At 49.4% G+C, this 21,599-nt stretch overlaps 1 protein-coding gene across 6 annotated transcripts, besides 2 other annotated features; it reads right to left on the reverse strand.

Moving 5' to 3' along the window:
• On the reverse strand, positions 320 to 20,273 carry SLC52A3 (solute carrier family 52 member 3). Of its 6 annotated transcripts, none has more exons than XM_047439868.1 (6): positions 20,252 to 20,273; positions 8,537 to 8,722; positions 5,448 to 6,065; positions 3,738 to 4,243; positions 1,941 to 2,064; positions 320 to 1,478 (listed from the first exon to the last, which is right to left on the reverse strand). In XM_047439868.1, the coding sequence occupies exons 3-6, from the start codon at positions 6,012 to 6,014 to the stop codon at positions 1,266 to 1,268; spliced, it is 1,410 nt and encodes a 469-aa protein (XP_047295824.1). In that variant the 5' UTR covers positions 6,015 to 6,065; positions 8,537 to 8,722; positions 20,252 to 20,273; the 3' UTR covers positions 320 to 1,265. The 6 variants fall into 6 exon arrangements, with proteins under 6 accessions (XP_047295824.1, NP_001357014.1, NP_001357015.1 ...); NM_001370085.1 differs by lacking the exon at positions 20,252 to 20,273 and adding an exon at positions 16,195 to 16,225; NM_001370086.1 differs by lacking the exon at positions 20,252 to 20,273 and adding an exon at positions 16,195 to 16,225 and having other exon boundaries at positions 5,448 to 6,574.
• Positions 8,915 to 9,414: an enhancer, noted in NCBI's record as "H3K4me1 hESC enhancer chr20:749319-749818 (GRCh37/hg19 assembly coordinates)". NCBI's record gives its function as "activates a minimal SCP1, AML or CMV promoter by ChIP-STARR-seq in primed H9 embryonic stem cells {active_cell/tissue: H9 hESC(primed)}" and the evidence as "EXISTENCE:reporter gene assay evidence [ECO:0000049][PMID:30033119]".
• Positions 15,997 to 16,699: an enhancer, noted in NCBI's record as "H3K27ac-H3K4me1 hESC enhancer chr20:756400-757102 (GRCh37/hg19 assembly coordinates)". NCBI's record gives its function as "activates a minimal SCP1, AML or CMV promoter by ChIP-STARR-seq in naive H9 embryonic stem cells {active_cell/tissue: H9 hESC(naive)}" and the evidence as "EXISTENCE:reporter gene assay evidence [ECO:0000049][PMID:30033119]".

Raw genomic sequence — 21,599 nt, forward strand, 5'->3', positions numbered from 1 at the left:
AATTATTATTTTTGAGACAGAATCTTGCTCTGTCACCCAGGCTGGAGGGCAGTGGCACGATCTCAGCTCACTGCAGCCTCCACCTCTGGGGTTCAAGCAATTCTCAGTCTCCTGAGTAGCTGGGACTACAAGCATGTGCCACCATGACCAGCAATTTTTTGTATTTTTAGTAGAGATGGGTTTTTGCCATGTTGGCCAGGCTGATCTCAAACTCCTGGCCTCAAGTGATCTGCCCGCCTTGGCCTCCCAAAGTGCTGGGATTACAGGTGTGAGCCACTGTGCCATGCCTGAACTTCTCCTTTGAAGGAAGATCTGAGTGTAAAAGCAGGGAATGCCTTTATTTAAAAAAATGAAAAACAGAAACTAAAACAAAATAACAATCACCTCTGTTGCCTCCATTTGAGAGAATACTTCCAGGGGCTCTGCATGTCTGGTCCCCAACCTGGTCGGGGAGTTCACTTTCAGAGGCTCAGGGATGGGCCTTCCCCAGCCCCACCAGCAAATCATCTCTCCCGGCTTCCAGGAGGGTACTTACTCTCCAACTAGTGGGCTTTATGGGCCAGGAAGGATGACAGGAAGGGGTGTGTGGGGTACTACGTCCCTCCACACTGAGAATCCGAAAGCCAAGATGCCCAAGATTCTATCGTTATCTGCTTGTCTTGTAGAAGCCCCTCTGTGAGACTGAGGGGCAAAGGAGAGAGGGCAGGGGCGTGTCTCAACCCTTCTGGCCACTTCTAGGTTGTGCAGACTGCCACTCTTGTTACTACGATGGACTGTCAGATCAGCAGGTGGCCCAGGAGGGCTTGCTTGATGCGGGCTGCTTTTTCCTTTTGCCTCCGTGCCATGCCTGTGAGGTAGTTGGTACTTACTGGAATCCCCACTGCATGCATGAAGAAACAGGCACAGAGAAGCCAAATGACTTTCCCAAGGTCACACAGCCTGAAGGGACAGCCGGCTGTCCCAGCTGTTTCCCTTCTAACACCCTTGGGCCTGCCTCCAGCTAGATGCTGCAAATCAGTCCTCTCTTGAGAGTCAAAGCAAAGGAGATCTGAGCTGGTCGTCACAGGTAGTGTGACACAGAGTTGGGGATAGAGCCGCACCTTGCATTTCCAGGTGCCATCTTCCCCACAGTCCCCAGTGGGCACTTGCGTTCATGATTCAATTACTCAGGCTCTGTCTCTCTGTTCCTGCCCCTTGCTCTGTGACCTGGCCTCTCTGGACCCCAGTTCCGTCCGTGAGCGATGGGGGCGGGGTCGGCGGCCTGCCTAGGCTGGACAGTGCAGATTGCAGAAGTCCGCGGACGAGAAGAGCCGCAGCACGTTGACCAGAGGGAACATGAGCAGCGCTCCGAGCAGCGAGCCCAGCTGCACCGCCGCCCCGCACCACAAGAGGGCGCTGCGGCTGAGGTCGCGCAGGACCACGCCCAGCATCACCTTGACGTAACTGAGGCAGCCGCTGAAAAGCACCCACGAGGCCACCTGCGGGGCCGGGAGGGAAGAGGTGCAGAGTCACGGGGCTTGCGGGGCGAGCGCCGGAGCAAAGAACTCTCACAGGGCTCAGGGGAACCCACGGAATACTCTCTAGGTGCGAGGAGCGCCTTCTGGGAGTGAGCCTGCGGGGCCGACGGGTCCCATGAGTTGGCCGCCCGGGGGCGAAGGAGAATCCAGTGGCTTTTCTGGGTTCACGTGCCCATGATCAGGGCAAGGGCCCTTGAGAGAAGGCCCCTGCTGAGGTACACATGGTGGGAAGAGGCCTACCAGTCACCTCGATTCCCTAAGCCTCCACTCCCAAATGAGGAAGGGGCGCTTCCCCCACCTGGGGCTTCCCGGGAGGGTCCCACAGACCCCGCTCGCTGGAAAGGGCCGCGCCCAAGCTCTCCCAGGCCTTGGCTAGGGGTGAGGGGTACGCAGCGGGAGCAGCCCCACCGGCCGGATACTCACAATGAGGACTTCCCCACCCCAGTGGCCCTGCAAGAGGGGGCAGGGGCTCATCACCGCCATGGCCATGTTGTAGCCCCCAAAGCAGGTCCCAAGCACGGAGAGGACCCCCAGGAACAGCAGAGACCTAGAGGAAAGTAGGGGAGGTGAGTGGAGGTGAGAAGCCTGACCTCTGACCCCCCCGCCCCACTGGGCGGCATGTGGATGGCCAGTGTCTCCATAGTTAGTTTAGACCCATGTGGAAAATTCCAGGTTGCCTGGCTCAAGTGGGTCAGGGAGGCTCCTGAGCAGGCAGGGCTGGCCTGAGTCATCCCCAGCATTAACGGCAGGGCCTGGCACCCCGGCAAGAAAAACATAATGGACTCTGGCACCGGATGGTCCTGGTTCAAATCCCAGTTCTACTGTTTAAGCTGAGACTCGCCTCTGAGCCTCCAAATCGGAGTTTTGCAAGGCTGCATGACCTCCAGGAGCAGAGCATGCAGGCCTGGCGCCGCTGTGGGCCCACCTGGTGTTTACCTGCTGGCATTTCCTCCTGCAACACACCCTCAGCCTCAGCCAGGAAGCTGAGTTGAAGTGAAGATGGCTGGATCGGGCATTGGCACAGTAGGGTTTGCTGTGCCTCCTCAGGAGACCCCTCCCCTTCTGGCCTCAGCTACCTGCCTCTGCAATGTGGAGTGTGCTGATCTCCAGGGGTCCTGGCAGCTGGCTTGTTGCTGCTAGGAGCATCTCTCTACAGGTGGCCTTCCATGCAAACCTACATCTGGGACCACTGTCCTTCCTCACAGGTCCTTGTCCCTGGGGTCCCAATCTCTAGAACCCCAAGACTGGTCCACGCCCTGGGTAAGAACAGACAGAGGTCTGCCTATACCCTTAAAGACTCTTTCTGCTCCAAGATTCTTGGATTCCATGACTCAGATTCTGTAATTCTAACATTTGGGGTTTCTTGGATTTGCAGGTCTGAGCCTTTGGTCCTGCTTCCCTCAAATCCTCCATCCTCTTTCCAGTTTCTAGGTCCCAAGGTAGAAAATCCAGCTTCCTGGCAAGCTTTCTGTCAAGCTCTTCTGTCCTCACTGTCCTTCTTCTGGGCTGGGAGAGTGGGTGTAAGCAGGCCAGTGAGGACAGGCAGGCCAGCGTGGATACGAGGCTGTAGGACCCACCTCAAATGTCAAGATCCCAAGGTGGTAGTTCTCCTACAGGGGTCTGAAGCCCCTGCCTCAGAACCGTCTGGTTTCCTTACTAAAAATTGAAATCCCAGGTCCCAGTCTAGGCTGGTTCAATCTGCATTTTATCAACTTGCCCAGCCATTCTTCTAGAACTGTGGCTCTAAGGGAACCAGCAGGAGGTTAGAGGCAGGAAGGCAGGGCCGAAATCCTGGGAATTAGACCAGGTCAAGCTCTTTCTCCAAGCCTCAGGGTTTCCCCTTATAAACGGGAACCTCAGTGGCTATCTGCTCCTCCTCATGGACTGATGACAATGATGGTCAACGCTTAGGCTGGACCTGCCACGTGCCAGGCACCGCTCCAAGAGCTTTATAGAATCAGCTCATATCATGCTTCCAGCAGTCCTAGGAGGTGGAATGTTACACTCCCATTTTCCGATAAATATCCCTGAGGCACAGAGAACTGAAGTGACTTGTCTTACACACAGCTGACAGGTGGCAGAGCTGGGATTTGGACCAGGGTGCTCCCCAAACATGTTCTTAACCACTACATGTACAGCCCAGTAGGTGCGTTTGGAATTCTGGGTTCTGAAATGAAGTGTTCCCCCACTAGGATTCCCTAGGACCAGATGAGGGCACACCTGTTAGGCAGGAACATGGAGACCAACGAGGCAAGAGGGTTGGCCACAATGCTGAGGGTGGCAGCCAGGTGGTAGGCAACTGGCCCATAGGACAGGCAGGAGTAGGTCTGCACAGAGGGCAGCATGCCGTTGGTGAGCGCGTTGACGAAGGCCACCAGGGTATAGATGAAGGCCAGGTGCGCCGGGCAGCAGGGGGCTGCTTTCTCCTCTAGATACCCCTGGCCCTGGCTGCTGTCCACCGTGCCTGCAGGGCCCAAGTCATTCTCTTCCCGCGGCCGGATGGAGTGGAGGGTGACCTGGTCATTGAGGAGGTCTTCCACGGAAGCCTCCCAGCACCTGGGTTGACGCTGGAGGACAAAGAACGCCACGAGGCAGCAGGCCATCATGATGGATAGGAGGAGGAAGAAGACCAGGGGTGAGAAGTGGGCGGGAAGGTAGCGGCTCTCCAGGTGGGACAAGGGTGCTTCCATTCCGGGGAGGGCGGACACCAAAGCTCTGGGAACTCCCTGCAAAGGACAAGACAGATCCCTGGTCAGGGGAGGGGATCAGGCTGCAGAACAACAATCATGACAGTGATAACAGAATACAGATCACCTGTTATTATTAATGGATAATGAATAAATAAACATAACTAACAAGGTGGCAATAATGACTGCTCATACTGACTGCCCACTGAGCACGGGCACTGTGCATGGATAAGCCCCTATGCCTCCTAACAGGGCTGCACAGTGGGCACCATCATCCCCCATTTTAGAGGGAACTGAGGTATCAGAATGCTTCGTCCCTTACCTGAGGGTCACAGGGAGAATGTGGCAAAGCCAGACTCCACCTGGTGCTTTCTGACTTGGAAGCTACACCTTTTATCACCCCACAGCAGTGGCAACCACAAACATGTTCAGAGGAGGAGCTAGCTGGAGACTGAGCAGTGGAGCCGCCCACCTAAGAGGAGAGCCCCCACCTAAGGGGAGAATCCCCCACCTAAGGGGAGAGCCCCCACCTAAGGGGAGAATCCCCCACCTAAGGGGAGAGCCCCCACCTAAGGAAGAACACTGCTCCACCCATCGTCTAGGAAATAAGGGCCTTCAGGACATGCCATCCCAAAATATGACTGTAGGAGGCCAGAATATGCCACCCCAAAATTGACCTATTGGCATATTTTTTATTTCTAGCTGGTTATTTTGAAAAATTGCAGGCTAAGGAGTAGCTCTGAAAAGTTGCCATTTTGTAAGATAAATTTACATCTAAAGGAAATTTTTATTAGTAAAGCTATCTTATCTGTACCAAGAAAAGGTATCTGTACCACGAAGGGGTATCTGAACCAGGAAGAGAAAGGTGATGGCCTTTATCACCCGAGGAACTTTTATCTGCATAACAGTGCAATGTTTATTCACCATAAGTTTCCTCCCTTCACTCTCCCATAATTTGTCTCCACCATCCTGCAGTAGCCTCAAGCCCCTATTCCCTTTTGTAGCTCAGGATGCTATAGAAGCTGAAATCATCTGGCCCTTTTTTGAGTCTCATATTTTTTGGGGACTCCCATGCGTATGTATGTAAGTAATTAAAATGAGTTTCCTGCTGTTGATCTGCCTTATGTCAGTTTAACTCATAGGCCGACCAAAGAACCTAGAAGGATGGAGGTGAGCAGTTTTTCCCTCCCCTACATTTGTGATAAAGCCAAGTGCTGAGATGGCTCCGGGTGATGCTGGGTACCTGTGCGATGTCAGTCTCCCTCGTGGGTACAGGGCTTGGTACGCTGTCTGATATCTCAGTGACATTGACGCAGGTAGTGAGACCGGAGCCCTGGGCAAGAGCCACCAGGGCGGGCAAGAGGCCGCTGAGTCCTTCACCCACAAAGAAGGTGGTGAGGTAGTAGGTGGGCAGCCGGCTCATGAACGGCAGGAAGGTCACTGAAGAGGTGCAGTCCACCAGGGCCAGGAAGAAGGTGAGGACCAAGAAGGCGATGCTGTGGTGGCCGTCCAGCACCCAGGAGGTCATATTCCAGAGGAAGGCAAAGATGATGCAGGTGACGGTTCCCACGCCCAGCAGGGTGAAGATGATGGGCACTTCGGAAAGGCAGCTGGGCCGGAAGTGATGGAGCAGGGTGACCAGGAGGGGCCCGATGTTGGCCAGCTGGATGACCACCGTGAGGTAGGAGGGCAGGTACCAGCCCTCGGGCAGCTCCATCACCAGCAGGGGCAGCTCTACCCAGAGCCCATTGATGGTCACCCAGGAGCCCATTCCGAAGACGCAGACCAGCAGGTGCATCAGGAAGGCCATGGCGGTATCTGCCCTGGGCCAGAGGCTTTCTCAGATCAGCCTGCAGCGGGGCTGGCAGAGAAGGACACCAGGTGAGTAATTCCAGCTTCACCACCTAGCAAGATGCTGGGACCTGGGGCCCAGAGTTTTCTCTTATTACTCCCCTTCCTGTGAACAAGCTGGCTTTTTTTTTTTTCCTTTGAGACATAGTTTCACTCTTTTAGTCCAGGCTGGAGTGCAATGGGATGATCTCGGCTCAGTGACCCTCTGCCTCCTGGGCTCAAGTGATTCTCCTGCCTCAGTTTCCCAAATAGCTGGGATTACAGGTGCATGCCACCATGCCAGCTAATTTTGTATTTTTAGTGGAAACAGGGTTTCCCCACGTTGGTCAGGCTGGTCTCGAACTCCTGGCCTCAGGTGATCCGCCTGCCTCGGCCTCCCAAAGTGCTGGGATTACAGTGTGAGCCACCACGCCTGGCCCAAGCTGTCTTTTTATTAGCAGAAAACAAGAGAAGCCTTTCCTAACCGTGATTCATGAAAGAAAAGTTCAATCCGACACACAAAAGCAAACAAAGCAGCTTCTGCAAAAGATACCAACAGCAAGGTCAAAAGTTAAATGAAAACACGGGGAAAACATTTGCCACATAAATCACAGACAAAGGGCTCATCTTCCTTGTCAGGCCTCTGAGCCCAAGCCTGCGCGTGTACATCCAGATGGCCTGAAGTAACTGAAGAATCACAAAAGAAGTGAAAATGGCCGGTTCCTGCCTTAACTGATGATATTACCTTGTGAAATTCCTTCTCCTGGCTCAGAAGCTCCCCTACTGAGCACCTTGTGACCCCCACCCCTGCCCGCCAGGGAACAACCCCCTTTGACTGTAATTTTCCACTACCTACCCAAATCCTATAAAACTGCCCCACCCCTATCTCCCTTCGCTGACTCTCTTTTCGGACTCAGCCCGCCTGCACCCAGGTGAAATAAACAGCCTTGTTGCTCACACAAAGCCTGTTTGATGGTCTCTTCACATGGACGCGCGTGACATTCCTAATATATAAAGAGTTTTTAAAAATCAAGAACAAAGAGACCCCATATAGAAGAGGGCCAAGGATATGAACAATTCAGAGAAAAAGGTACAAATAAGCTTTAAACACATGAAAATATTATCACCTTCATTCACAATAGGAAAACTACTCCAGGTGCCATTTCTCACCATGAGATTGTCCCAAAGCCTGACAAAATGACTCATGTTCAAGGTTATTATAGATTGCGATCTTGTTGGTAATAGCAAGTTATGGGAAATTTTCTCCTGGGTGGCTACCAACAGAGAGGGGGCTAATTAAAGGGACCTGCTGGAATACCACATACCTGTTTAAAGGAATAAGAAATAAGGAAAGCAGATCTTGGTGACTGATAAGGAAAGGTCTCCAGGCTATAATAATAATCTTGAAACAAAATCAAGGCAGGTAAATGGAACCAGGAAAAAGTGTACTGCCTTTTGGTCATAGAAGAGGAGGAAAAACATGTTTTCTTTGCTTGTACTTGCACAAAGCAACCCTTGAAGGACACACAGGGACTGCAGGGATGTTGGTGATGCCTCTGTATATCTTTTTTTTTTTTCTTGTGACAGAGTCTTACTCTGTCACCAGGCTGGAGTGAAGTGGCACAATCTCAGCTCACTGCAACCTCTACCTCCCGGGTTCAAGTGATTCTCCTGCCTCAGCCTCCCAAGTAGCTGGGACTACAGGCGCCCACCACTACGCCCAGCTAATTTTTTGTATTTTTATTAGAGATGGGGTTTCTCCGTGTTAGCCAGGATGGTCTCAATCTCCTGATCTTGTGATCCACCCTCCTCAGCCTCCCAAAGTGCTGGGATTACAGGCATGAGCCACCGCTCCTGGCCCTGCCTCTGTATATCTTTTAATAAGAGTTTTGATTTGTGAACCATGTAAACATATTACCTGATGCAAATATATGGTTACCTGAAATAAGATTTCAATCTGGCTTTTTTTCCTCCTGAAATTATATCACTCTCTACGTGGCCTTTGGAGACCACTTCCTCTAGCCCTCCAGAGCCATTCTGCCATCTGTTTACCCCTTTGTCAGCTACCAGTGGCAGCCCACCTGTGCTGTTACTAACAACTTTCTTCTATCTATCCTTAGTCTGAGCAGTAATATGGGAGATGCCAGGAGTGAGGCTCTGGAGCCAGCTGTTTGAGTTTGACCCTGGCTCTGCTGCTTACAATCTGGGTGACCCTGGGCAAGTGGCTTTGCCTCTCTCTGCCTCATCTCCTCATCTGTAAGTAGGGGATAGTGATAGTATGAACTCCGTGGTTTGTTGTGAGATATAAGGATGCTGGTGAGTTTATGCTGTTTCCAACAGTCCCAGCATAGGGTAAGCACCTCTAAGGGTTACTGATCATTATCGTGAAATGGCAGGTTTGGTGACATCGTTATTTTTGTCTAATTCACATGAGAATTAATACATGACTATGAAAATTTAAAAAAGGAAAAGATTCCCCTACTAGGTATCAAGTGAACTCACCAGTGGTATATGCACCTTTTTGTAGAGACACGCTAACTGGGCCAATCTTCACGTTTTGTAGATGGGAGACGAGGTCCGAAGGGGCAGAGGGGCTCTCCTGGGATCTGGACTGGATCCTCTGCAGCAAGCGGCCTGTCCGGGACTCCTCAGTTCACGCTGCAGTCTTTAACTCCATACTTCTTCCTTCTAGTACAAAGCAGGAGTGTCCGTTGTGGCCACGCCTCACCCAGGAAACTCCTGAATCCTGGCAGCTCCTCCCCACGGTTCCCACACACGGAATTCCCTCACAGGGCTGGGACTTCCTTCCTCATACCTTCACTGAGCGAACCCAATGCTCAGTGGCCTTTCTGGTCACCTCCTTTTCCTCTCTGGGAGGAGCCACTCCTGGGGTGTAACGCAGTCAGATCCCCTAGCAGTCCCGCTCTGCCCCCTCCCTTCTGGGGGCCTCAGACTCCATTCCCTCCCTTAGGAAGCTGACTTGACTAATAGCACAGGTGAGGCCCACTCCAGGCGTGCCAAGAGGACCCAAGGAGGGAGGGGAAGCTCCCAGACAGCAGTGGCACACCTTTGCCTGTGCTGTCCTCCCAGCCTGGAGCACCAGCCCCCTCTGCTGTCCACATCCAAGCTTTCTACAAGACTCCGTCCTCCAGGAGACCTCTGGCTGCCTCACCTTCTCAGGCGTCCTCACCAGGGCCCATGACCCCTTCATTTCAGGTTGTTCTTGTGTGGGTGCATGCAGGCACATACCTTGAGACTGAAGCTTTTTGAGGGCAGGGGCTGCTTGGGAATCTGACATTTTGAAGGTGGAAGGGCCTTTCTCAATGACTTAGCTTAGGATTTGTAAATTGTTAACTCACTGGCCACTGCCAGACAGCAGATATATTACTTTGGTTTGCCCAGTGTGTTTAACAATTTGTTACTGTAATCAGCAGTGGAGGGGATGGCAAGCAACCTTCAGCATTTCTGGCTTCTCAGGAATATTTTGGAAGAAGTGGCCCCCCACTTTGGCCTCTTTCTCTGTTCTAGACTCGGGCCATCTTGGAGCTCTCCCCTGCGGTAACATCTGGAACCAGTTGCCTGGGTTCAAATCCCAGCTTCAACCCTTACAAGCTGAGCAAGTGACCTAACCTCCTGTGCTTCAGAGTCTTCTCTTGCAAAACAGCTATAGGCTGTCAGTACCAACATCAGAACTGTTGCTAGGAACATGCACTAAAGTGCTAAAACTGTGCCTGCCACATAGTGAGGGCTCAATGAACCATCATTATAAGATTACTATTTCAGCAAACGTATCAGTTGCATTCAAAAACATGTAGTTATTGGCCAGGCGCGGTGGCTCACGTCTGTAATCCTAGCACTTTGGGAGGATGAGGCGGGCGGATCCCTTGAGGTCATGAGTCCGAGACTGGCCTGGCCAACATGGCAAAACCCCGTCTCTACTAAAAATACAAAAATTAGCCCAGCATGGTGGCGCACACCTGTAATCCCAGCTACTCAGGAGGCTGAGGCCGGAGAACGGCTCCAACCTGGGAGGTGGAGGTTGCAGTGAGCCGAGATCATGCCACTGCACTCCAGCCTGGGCAACAGAGCGAGACTCCATCTTAAAAAAGAAAAAATAAAAAAAAGGCGCAGTTTTTGTTAGACAAATGGCCACTCAACTAAAGGACTACATTTCCCAGCCTTCTTTGTAGCTGCACATGGCCATGTCATCAAGCACAGGCCAATGAATTCAAATGCGACTTTGAGTAGTCTCCTTAGCCCGTTTCCTGTTTAGAAAAAAAAGTGCAGCTCGTTGCCAGCACTCATTTAATTTTATGTAAACGTGCTATTTGAGGCTGAAGCAAATCTGATTCTGACTGCTGTTTTTTTTTTTTTTCTTTTGAGACAGAGTCTTACTGTGTAGCCCAGGCTGGACTACAGTGGCTTGATCTCGGCTCACAGCAACCTCCGCCTCCCGAGTTCAAGCAGTTCTCGTGCCTCAGTCTCCTTAGTAGCTGGGATTACAGGCGTGCACCACAATGTCCGGCTAATTTTTTATATTTCTTAGTAGAGACGGGGTTTCTCCATGTTGCCAGGCTGGTCTCGAACTCCTGGGTTCAAGTGATCCCCACGCCTCAGCCTCCCAGAGTGCTGGGATTGCAGGCGTGAGCCACCAAGCCCAGCCCTAAATCTGACTGATTTTCAATGTGAAAATAACATGTAAAAACTGTTTTTGAAGTTATTTCTAACCAGAACTAACATCAGACTCATCTATTTCAGAAAAACTGGATTCATCAAACGAATCTTTGGTCAACAACTGTTCAAGAACAATGTTAACATCACACATAGGAATGCTAGGATTTGCTATTTTCAGCGATCGAGAATTACTTTGTTTTGTAAATGGAAATACCACGACTAAAACCAGAATGCTACAAATAGAGTGATGTCTTTTGTTTCCAAAGTCAATATACTAGAGCAAGGCAAAAATAATAATAAAAGCGAGGTATTTTGTGGCAAAGTTATCTTGGGGTAAACACTGCAGTCACAAGTGGGTATTCCTTCTGGCAAACAGGGAAAGAGTTAACAATAAGGGAGTGTGCCCTTCTGCTCTTCCTCCATTTGGCTGTCTGGAATCAGATGTGATGGCCAGAACTCCAGCAACGATTTTGTGCTATGAGGCATGTGGTGGGGGTTAGATGCATACTAGGCTCCTTTGGGATTTTGTGGCAGAGAGCACCCATACCAGCCCTGTTTTGCCTGTGTTGAACTGTTTTGTTTGTTTGTTTAATGTTGTTGTTAAATTGTAAAAGAAACTTCTATGTTGTTTAAGTCACTCTTATTTTATGTACAACAAAAGTACTCAGAGGCTGGGTGCAGTGGCTCACTCGTATAATTCCAGCACTTTGGGAGGCTGATGTTGGCAGATCACTTGAGGTCAGGAGTTCAAGACCAGCCTCCAACTGGTCAACATGGTAAAACCCTGTCTTTACCAAAAACACAAAAAATTAGCCAGGTATGGTGGTGGGCACCTGTAATTCTAGCTACTCGGGAGGCTGAAGCAGGAGAATTGCTTGAACTCGGGATGTGGAGGTTGTAGTGAGCCAAGAGCACGCCAGTGCACTCTAGCCTCGGCGACAAAGCAAGACTCTTGTCTCAAAAAACTAAAAGAAACAAACAGACAAAAACTACTCCATACTAAGTGCACAGAGATACACATTCCAGGATATATATTGAAAGATTATAGTAACCAAAAACTAATGAATACATTTATCTCCTTTACCACCTACTTTCTGACTCTGAAACTTAGGTCCTGTCCCAACCAGGATTTGATCAAAAATCAAAATTTAACAAAAGTAGTTGTTTAGACCCTTGGGGGCAAATGTCTTGCAGAGATATGAAAAAAAAAAAAAAAAGGAGAAGAGAGAAAGAGGGAGGAACAGAGGAACACAGAACCCTCCATATAGCATTTGGTACCAAAAGTATAAATTGAGACCAAGAGTCATTTCATATATCAAAACTCTAATTCATAAAGGAGTCAAAATTGTAGTGACTATCTGTATTCTGAATATTTCCTGAAATAGCCTCAGACATTCCAGGAGAAATGGACAGAAGCACAGTCCAGCAGTACAGGCCTGACTCACCCTTCCAGGTCAAGACAGCAGACGAAGGTGCAAAATAAACAAGGATATAGCAAAAGCAATAAATGATATACCTAGTAAAGAGGGCTAAGTCAGTAGTTAAGGGGAGTAGGCGAATTTGCAGATGATGGTGACCTTTGCCATATGAAAAGCTATTAAACTAATGAGAGTGTCCAGTTAAACATTTACAAACATCAGTAGCTTTCCCACAGAGGGCTGGATGGGGAGATGAGGGCAGACAGGGCAGAAGTAGCCTCACTTTCTTGTATGTTCGACAACTCCTAAGCTCTGAACGCCTAAATCCCTGCTCCCCACAAAGACGAATTCTCTGGTTTTGACCCAGGTGCTACCACGGCTGTGTCACTTGAGGGATGGGATTTGGCTCCGGGGGTCTGTTTCCTTGTCTGGAAACCAGGCACAGTGGGGGTGTGTCCCCACGTGACCCATCTGCCCTATGGCCCTGGCCCACTCCCAAATTATCTCCTTCCTCAAAAGTGAGGTGTGCTTTTGGACCTCGGGGACACAGTGAGGAACAGTCATTAATGTCAATGAAGGGGATGTCTTAGGCAGAGGGAACTACATGTGCAAAAAGGCCCCAGAGAAAAGGAGAGACTCAGAATGGCTGGTGTTCGGAATGTGTTGGGATACTTTTAAAAGATGCATATCTGTATTTTCTGTTTTTTTTTTTTTTGTTGTTGTTGTTTGTTTGTTTATTTTACAGTGACCTTGCAGTTCTTATTTATTCATTTTAACCAGTATTTCTTGGGCACCAACTGTGTGCTCAACCACAATCCCTGCTCTCAGGAAGTTGGAGGAAGCATTCACGAAGCAGAATAAAAAACAGAAACATAGAGCAGGTCAGATGGTGGCAAGGACTCCGGAGGAAAGCAAAGCTCCTGAATGGGGAATGTGCCGCTGTCAAGGAGAGGACATGAAGGGAGTGTGGGAGTGAGCTGTCTGCAGAAAGCACGGTCCAGGGGAGAAAACAGCAAGTGAAAAGGCCCTGGGGTGCGGCCACACCTGCTCTGTCCCAGAAGTGGATTTTGCTGTTCAAAGGACAGCTAGGAGGCCAGTGTGGCCGCAGCAGCGGGAGCCAGGTTGGAGGGGAGGAGACAGGGCAGGTCCCCTGTGGCCCTGTGGTGACAGCTTGGGTGTTTTCTCTAGAGCAAAAAGCTCCGTGAGTGGGCAGAAGAGACCAGCTCTAATCTAGTTTTTAACAGGATCGTGCTGGCTGTTGTGAGGAGAAACATGAGGCGCCAGGGAGGAAGCAGGAGTAAACCTTCGGAGGGTTAGGAAGCTGTAGCAAAAGAGCTAACAATCACCATGACAACAGTGACAACCATAGCTGCCACTCCTCAGCTATTTATTGTGCCAGACCCTGTGCTAAGCTCTTTGAACACATTACCTGTCAAATCTTGTTCCACAATCCTGAGGCTGGCATTATGATTATCTCCATTTTACAGATGAGGAAACTGAGGTTTAAAAGGGAAATAAATTTGCCTAGGGTCATACAGCTGGGAGCTGAGCTTTACATCCAGGCATGCTTGACTGTGGACCCAGCCCTGAGAAAGGCCTCAGGGTGAAGGGGTTCTGAAGGGGCCATGGGGGTCAAGCTGAGCAGGATCTCTTTCTGCTCACAGATGGCCTCCCAAGACTTGGGCCAGAGAAAGAGAGAAATGGGGTACAGGCTCAGGAGAAGCTGAGAGAGGCTCTGAGACATATCTGCTTCCCAAGGATCCAGGACCCCTTATGTGATCACCAGAGACCAGAAACCTAAGGCTTCGCATGAGACAGTTAAGATGCCCCATAATGCGTGGGCGACAGATAGAGAAGCTAGAAGGATCAGTTCCAGGCAAAGGTTTCTCTTTTGCATTCTTGCATCAAAAGCTGTGAGCCCCCAGCCCAAGAAAGTGAAGAGAATTGGGAGTGGGGTTCTGACCAGGGCCAGTGCACCGTCATTGTGTGGGCTGGGCCATCTCCTCCAGGGAGCTCAGGCAGCTTCCATCCCACCCAATGTCCCCCGCCCCCCTCCACATTCTCCTGCCCTCTGTTTTCCTCCATCAAAGTATTACTGACACCAGCTCAGTTACGGGAGTTTATCTGTGTCTATCTGTTGAGCGCTGGTCTCTCCCATTGGAGTGTAATCTCCATGTGAGCGGGGGCTTGTCCTCTCCCCCAGTGCCCAGGTGACCATCTGGCTTGCCACGGGCTGGGCCACCTGAGCTCCTGGCACCATGGCTGGGTTCTCGCTCTGCAGGGATAATCTGCCAGCTGGTAGGCACCTAGCCCTGTGGGCCAGACTGGAGGAAACCCGCCTCAGCTATGAGGGTTGTGTTGGCCAGGGTGACCCCTGGGGCAGTGCCAGGTGGCAGCCTGACACTGGATACATCTCACTCCTGGGCAAGGGTCTGAGCCAATTCTTTCCTGGGTTCCAGGCTCCTGGAGAACTTAGTGAGGCCTGTAGGCGTCTACTTAGGGCCTGGCCTCACCCTCATGAGAGTGGGTAGGAATGGACTGACTTTGAGCCCATGAAGAAGGGAGGCTGAGAGGTCAAAACCACAAAACCCACAGGGAGAGATGGGGGAGATGAAGGGGAGTGAGAGAGAAGAGACTGAGACAAAGAGACAGAAAGAACCGAAAGCTAGAAGCAGAAATGGGGAGAAAGGACAACAGAGGCACAGAGACAGGGAAAAATGAGAAGCTGCGGCTGAGAGGGAGGCAGGGAGGTGCCAGGAGGCAGGAGGCAGCTGGGGCGCTGGGAGCCTGGCCTCAGCCACCCTCACTGTTCACAGCCACATGTAGCAGAAGGCCATCTCTACCTCTTGTTGCTGGGACCTCAGAGTTCCCCTGAAACTCATCCCAACTCAATGTCCCTATTGCACAGGTGGGGAAACCAAGGCCCAGAGAGGAGATAGTGCTTCCCCGAACCCTGCCCCACCCCTGATCTCAGGCTGTGGCAGACATTCAGGCCTGTGCTCACCGGCTGTGCAACCTCAGGTCAGCTGCTCACCCTCTCTAGGCCTTGGTTTCTCCATCTGTGAAAGGGTCTGGGAATGCCCAGCCTTTCTGGGCTCAGCAGACCAGGAAAAAGGGAATGAGATAACAGGCGCTCAGCCTGGCCAGTAGAAGCGGACAGTGAGTTCTCTTCCCCCTTCTCCTCCCTCCCAAGGCCAGGAAGGGCTTCAGGCCTCCCATGGGGCTGACCTTGGTGGAGCAGCCTCCCCCAGGCCAGTTCCCCTCCCCTCCACGTCCATCCCAACTCCCAGCCTCCTTCCCAGGCTCCTGCGGCTTCAGCCTGGTCAAGTTGTTCCGAGATAGCATGGAGATGGCCCTGGGTAAAGTCAGTGGGGGCCCAGTCTTTTTTTTTTTTTTTTTTTTTTTTAAGACAGGATGTCGCTCTGTCACCCAGGCTGAAGTGCTGTGGCATGATCTGAGCTCACTGCAGCCTCAACCTTCCTGGCTCATGCGATTCTCCCACCTCAGCCTCTGAGTAGCTGGGACTATTAACCCATGCCACCACGTCCGACCTGGGTAATTTTTGTATTTTTTGTATAGATGGAGTTTCGCCACGTTGCCCAGGCTGGTCTTGAACTCCCTGAGCTCAAGCGATTCACCTGCCTCAGTCTCCAGAAGTGCTGGGATTACAGGCGTGAGCCATGACACCCAGCATGGGCCCAGCCTTTTGGTCTGGAGGCACCAGGGGTCTGGAATTCACCTGGATGGCTCAGCCTGTCCCGACTCCAACATGCCAGCTGAGGAGGAAACCTTTCTTCCCTCCTGTCCCTTTGATCTTTCACCTGGATGGCTCAGCCTGTCCTGACTCCACATGCCAGCTGAGGAGGAAACCTTTCTTCCCTCCTATCTCTTTGGACTCTCCCGACATGGCAGCCTGAAACTAGGGGAAAGGCCACGGGACACCTGCTGGCTCCAGATAAGTGCCCCTGCCATATCCTGGTCAGTGTCCCATGCTCCTAGCTAGCAGGCAGCCTTGGTAGCTGCAGCTGCACCCTCACAGGCCTGAGCCGCCCCGCTTTGCCCACTTACCTGCTGGTCCAGTTCCCCAGCCGCTCTGCATGGGAGGGGCCAGAGGCAGCTCGTTTTGTATAAAGCTGTCCCCGCCCAGAGCTCGGGGAAAGGCAGGCGGAGGGTGGGTGTGGCTCCCGGCAAGACCAGGCGCCTACTATGTGTCTCTGATCTGCCCTACAGCCCAGCTAGGAGGAGGATCCAGATGGTAGAACTGTATAATAAAGGGCTTGCTTTATTGAGGCTCTCTGCCACCCAGATTTCATGAGGGTTGATCCCCAGTTGACAAAAGCTATGTGCAAACAGTTGGTTCTGGCATCACCCTGAGATCTCCATAATTCCTTTCACACAGGAAGAGAGTTCCCTGGAGCAAAAACAGTTCAAATACTGGTGCTTCAGTAAGTCATGTGGAAAGCGGGGATAATAATAGTGCCCTCTTCATAGGACAGAAATCCTAACTGCCAGTGTGCACTGAGCTGACTCAGTGTCAGGCATGTTCTTGGGGCTTGAGAGAAATTAATGCATTTAATCTTCATGGCCTTTTGGAGAGATGCTATTACTATCCCTATTTTCCAGATGAAGAAACAGGCCCAGAGAAGTCGAGAGCCTTGTGTAGGTCACACACCTTGTATATGGCAGAACTGGTCTCTGATGCACACTGAGCTACCCTGACAAATACTGTAACCACCTGAGGGGTTCTTTCTGCCCACTGCATAAAGAAAGACCATGAGGCTGGCCATGCCACAGGGGAAATGAGTTTGTTCCCAAATCATCTTCAAAGCTTGTAGGTGAGGGGTTTTTCAAAGGCAGTATAGGGGAAGAGTTGGGGGTGGCCAGGTAACAGGTGCTTGCTGCTGATTGGTTGGGGTGGAGATGAAATCATAGGGGGTTGAAGCTGTGCTCCTACAGGCTGAATCGCTTTTGGGGGGGGGGCCACAGGAGCAGGGTTGGCGGTCCTGGTGGAGACATCAGGTTTAGGTGGAGCCATGGGTGTCAAATCTGCAAAAAACCTGGAAAGATGGCGGGGCGTGGTGGGTCATGCCTGTAATCCCAGCACTTTGGGAGGCCGAGGCGGGTGGATTACCTGAGGTCAGGAATTCAGGACCAGCCTGACCAAAATGGCGAAACCCTGTCTCCACTAAAAATACAAAAATTAGCCGGGCATGATGGCGGACACCTGTAATCCCAGCTACTGGAGAGACTGAGGCAGGAGAATTGCTTGAGCCCGGGAGGCGGAGGTTGCAGTGAGCCGAGATCGCGCCGTTGCACTCCAGCCTGGACAATAGAGCAAGACTCTGTCTCAATAAAACAAAAACAAACAAACAAACAAACAAAAAACAAAAAAAAAACACCAACTGGAAAGATATCTCAAAAGGCCAACCTGCAACAGTGGTGTTATTTGCAGGAGTAATTGGGGAAGTTGCATATCTTATAACCTCCAGAATAATGGCTGGCAATCATTTATGTCTACACCTTAGGAGGACCCAGGCTCCTCTTCTTTCCCCAGCCTGATGGCCTCTCATTAACTTTACAAAAGTGGTTGCTCACAGTGCTACGGCCTGTAAGTGCAGGGCCAGGATGTGAATGCAGACTCAAATTGGTGCCTCCATGGATGTAAAACATATTGCACAGATTCTGACACCTAGTAAATGCTCAGTGCATATTGACTTCTACAAATAATTCTGGCCTGCCTGTTGTGTTATTTTCCAAGACATTCATTTACTTAACAAGCAATCAATCACTCTCCAGGCTAATGCTTGGGGCGAGAGGTGAGCAGGCACTAGGGAAGGGGCCAGACCCCTCGCTTAGCAGGCAGGTGTTCAGGAAGTGTTGCCACTGTTGGGGCTCAGGACATACACACCCCCAAAATATGACTCTGGGAAACCAGAATGTGCCACCCCCAAATACACCTCTTTGACATACTTTGAGCTGGTTATTCAGAGAAACTGCAGACACAGGAGTAGCTCTGGAAAGCTATTCTTTGGTAAAAGAAATTTACATCTATCAAGGAAATCTACATTAGTAAAGGTGCCTGTATCAGGAAAAAGGCTGCTCCAGAAGAATTACCCTAGAGACTTTCTTTTTTTTTTTTTTTTTTAAGATACAATTTCACTTTTTTTTGCCCAGGCTGGAGTGCAATGCTGCAATCTCGGCTCACTGCAGCCTCCGCCTCCCGGGTTCAAGTGATTCTCCTGCCACAGCCTCCCAAGTAACTGGGATTATAGGCGCACGCCACCATGCCCAGCTAATTTTGTATTTGTAGTAGAGACAAGGTTTCACCATGTTGGCCAGGCTGGTCCCGAACTCCTGACCTCAGGTGATCTTCTTGCCTCTGCCTCCCAAAGTGCTGGGATTACAGGCTTGAGCCACTACACTGGCCACCAGACAGACTTTTATCTGCACAGGAAGACAACCATTATTTACCATACAATAATTCTTCCCCTCACCCTCCCATAACTGTGTCTCCGCCAATCCCCCAAAGCCCTAAGACCCTATTCCTTAAACTTCAATCATCTGACCCTTCTTTGAGTCTCATATTTTGTGGGATTTCCACGCACAGATATGTAATTAAATATGGTTTCTCTCCTGTTACTCAGTTTCATGTCAATTTAATTCATAGCCCAGCCAAAGAACCATGAAAGGTGGAGGGAAGCCATGTTTCCCTTCTCTATAGTACCAAATACTTTGGATCTGTTAAAAAAAAATTGCAGGACTCTAAATTTATGATGCCAAGGGAGAAGTTAAGCCTTGCAGAGTGTGAGTTATGTGGCTTGCAGGATGGCCACTTTCTTCTTCTTTTTTTTTTTTTTTGAGACGGAGTCTCACTCTGTCGCCCAGGCTGGAGTGCAGCGGCCAGGCTGGTCTCGAACTCCTGACCTCAGGTGATCTGCCTGCCTTGGTCTCCCAAAGTGCTGGGATTACAGGCATGAGCCACTGTGCCTGGCCACAATTTCATACTTATCTCTGCCAAATACTATAAGGTGTCAAAATTTGGCATAGAGGGTACAAAACTATAACTCAATCCAAACAGAATAATCTTTGCTTGTATAATTTTTTAATAATGAAACATCAATATTGGTTTAATAAAGGCAGCTATATCTTGAACTATTTAGTTAAATACCCTAACTTCTAATCCTGTGGCCTTAGGAAGTCTAGTCTACAGACGTGAAGGAAGTTTCTTTAGGGAAAGGACTTATCATCTTTGATATTAAAGAAAAGAGAATTTATATAAAAATAATCTTATATGGTAAATTCTTGTTCTAAAGTAAATGAATTGGTTGTTTAAAAAGAAGGATGTTTACAACGAGTCAGAAAGTTGAGGCATGTCAGAGATTGTGTAAATTGTAAAAATTTTATAAAAGGGAATTTATGCAAGAAATGTTGTACAGTTTAAAAGTGATGAGGGGGCCGGGCACGGTGGCTCACGCCTGTAATCCCAGCACTTTGGGAGGCCAACGCGGGTGGATCACCTCAGGTCAGGAGTTGGAGACCAGCCTGGCCAACAAGATGAAACCCTGTCTCTACTAAAAATACAAAAAATTGGCTGGGCATGGTGGTGGGTGCCTGTAATCCCAGCTACTCGGGAGGCTGAGGCAGAATAGCTTGAACCCAGAGGCAGAGGTTGCAGTAAGCTGAGATTGCACCACTGCACTCCAGGCTGGGCGACAAGAGTGACATTCCATCTAAAGAAAACAAAAACAAGAGCGACTAGGCCTCCTGAATGCTTTATAAAATGCCACCATAACTCTTAACTGTACAACTTGCCTGCTTTGTAGCTGGGTAAGACCTAGCACACATGGAGTTAAATGCTGGAATAAGTCAGACCTTATCTGCACTTCTGTCTAGGTCCTAGGCTCTACATCTAGTACATAATTACAATCTCAAACTGACTAACAAAAGTAAAAGTTGCTAAAAGTTAACAGTGTAACATGTATTGTTCCATAGAAAGAATCTAAGATAAGACTGTAAAGCTGAGGCTAGCCGTGGAATTGTACCATTAAATACCTATGAGTTTCCTCTTGAGGTTGCAAGATAACCTAGGGTTCCCGGCCTCTCAGAAAGGGCATTCTTTGCTTACCACAGATCAGAAGCCCTATACAGGGACTGTGTACACAAAATATAAGGCCAGTTTCCAAGGGCTTTCTTGGCTTCGTAAATCAAGTTTGATTCCTTAAAGGAAAGCATACCATTCCAGTCAAGGCCTTGGTAAAAAAACCAGTTTTTCCAATTGTGTCCTGTTACAAAAGAAAACAGATTCTTATTACACTTGTGCAAATAACTATATCGCCATAACTTAAGAATACTCACAGATAGTTTCCAAATTCTGGAGAAAATCAGGGAGAGAGAAACAAGTATGCTACAAATTTTGTTCATGGGAGTATACTAAATTGTTAAAAGCTGTTAATAGCTCAAAAGAAAAATTTCGAGGCCGGATGCAGTGGCTCATGCCTGTAATCCCAGCACTTTGGGAGGCCGAGGCGGGCGGATCGCCTGAGGTCGGGAGTTAGAGACCAGCCTGACCAACATGGAGAAACCCCATCTCTACTAAAAATGCAAAATTGGCTGGGTGTGGTGGTGGCACATGCCTGTAATCCCAGCTACTCAGGAGGCTGAGGCAGGAGAATCGCTTGAACCCAGGAGGAGGAGGTTGTGGTGAGCCGAGACTGCACCATTGCACTCTGGCCTGGGCAACAAGAGCGAAACTCCGTCTAAAAATAAAATAAAATAAAGAAAAGTTTCTTTGACTTTGAAAAGCAAAACAAAGTATTAGCAATATTTTAAGCAAAATATCAAAAAGATCACTCCAGTCTCCTATTAGTTCAGTTCGTGCAGTTAATTCCTGTCCTGCTTGATATTAATGAACATTTTAGCTAAGAGTCCTAACCATTTTTCCTGTATTCTGATGTCACAATCTCCAAATTTATCAGAAACCTGCATTCAAGAACACCTGTTAGAGCTTTATAGCTGAGTATAAAACCCTTCTAAAGAGGATCAAAACAAGACAACAATTGTTTATGGATGACCAAAAGTTTTAGGGTAGCCATAGTTAAAGACACAATTGACAAGGAAATCTGTTACTTCTGTGGCACACAATAATTTTAACATAACAATTATAATTACTACTGATAACACACACTAAGACATATCAGAATTATAGGAGTCTCCCATAACTTTGGAACACATACCAATAACATATTTATACAAATATGGCCCAAAGAAAGCCAAACATTATTTTATATTTGACAATGCTTCCTGTATGACTTCATACCAAATAAGCCAAATTTTACCTTTATATTAGTGTGTTATTAATGTTAAACTCAATTTTAATGTTTTGATCATAAGGTCAGATTTTCATGGACCCTTTTTTTTTTTTGAGACAGAGTCTCGCTCTGTCGTGGGCGACAGAGTGCAGTGGAGCAATCTTG

This window comes from Homo sapiens, chromosome 20 (genome assembly GCF_000001405.40).
Source record: "Homo sapiens chromosome 20, GRCh38.p14 Primary Assembly".
In the NCBI taxonomy this organism is placed as follows: domain Eukaryota; kingdom Metazoa; phylum Chordata; class Mammalia; order Primates; family Hominidae; genus Homo; species Homo sapiens.

What these genes read in the sequence shown, in the direction of transcription:
- SLC52A3 (XM_047439868.1), bottom strand. Translation starts at nt 6,014, where the DNA reads ATGGCCTTCCTGATGCACCTGCTGGTCTGCGTCTTCGGAATGGGCTCC. An exon ending in GGGAGACTGACATCGCACAG is followed by an intron (nt 4,244 to 5,447) that starts GTACCCAGCATC and finishes TGTCCTTTGCAG; the next exon opens with GGAGTTCCCAGAGCTTTGGT. An exon ending in GGGGTGGGGAAGTCCTCATT is followed by an intron (nt 1,479 to 1,940) that starts GTGAGTATCCGG and finishes CCGGCCCCGCAG; the next exon opens with GTGGCCTCGTGGGTGCTTTT.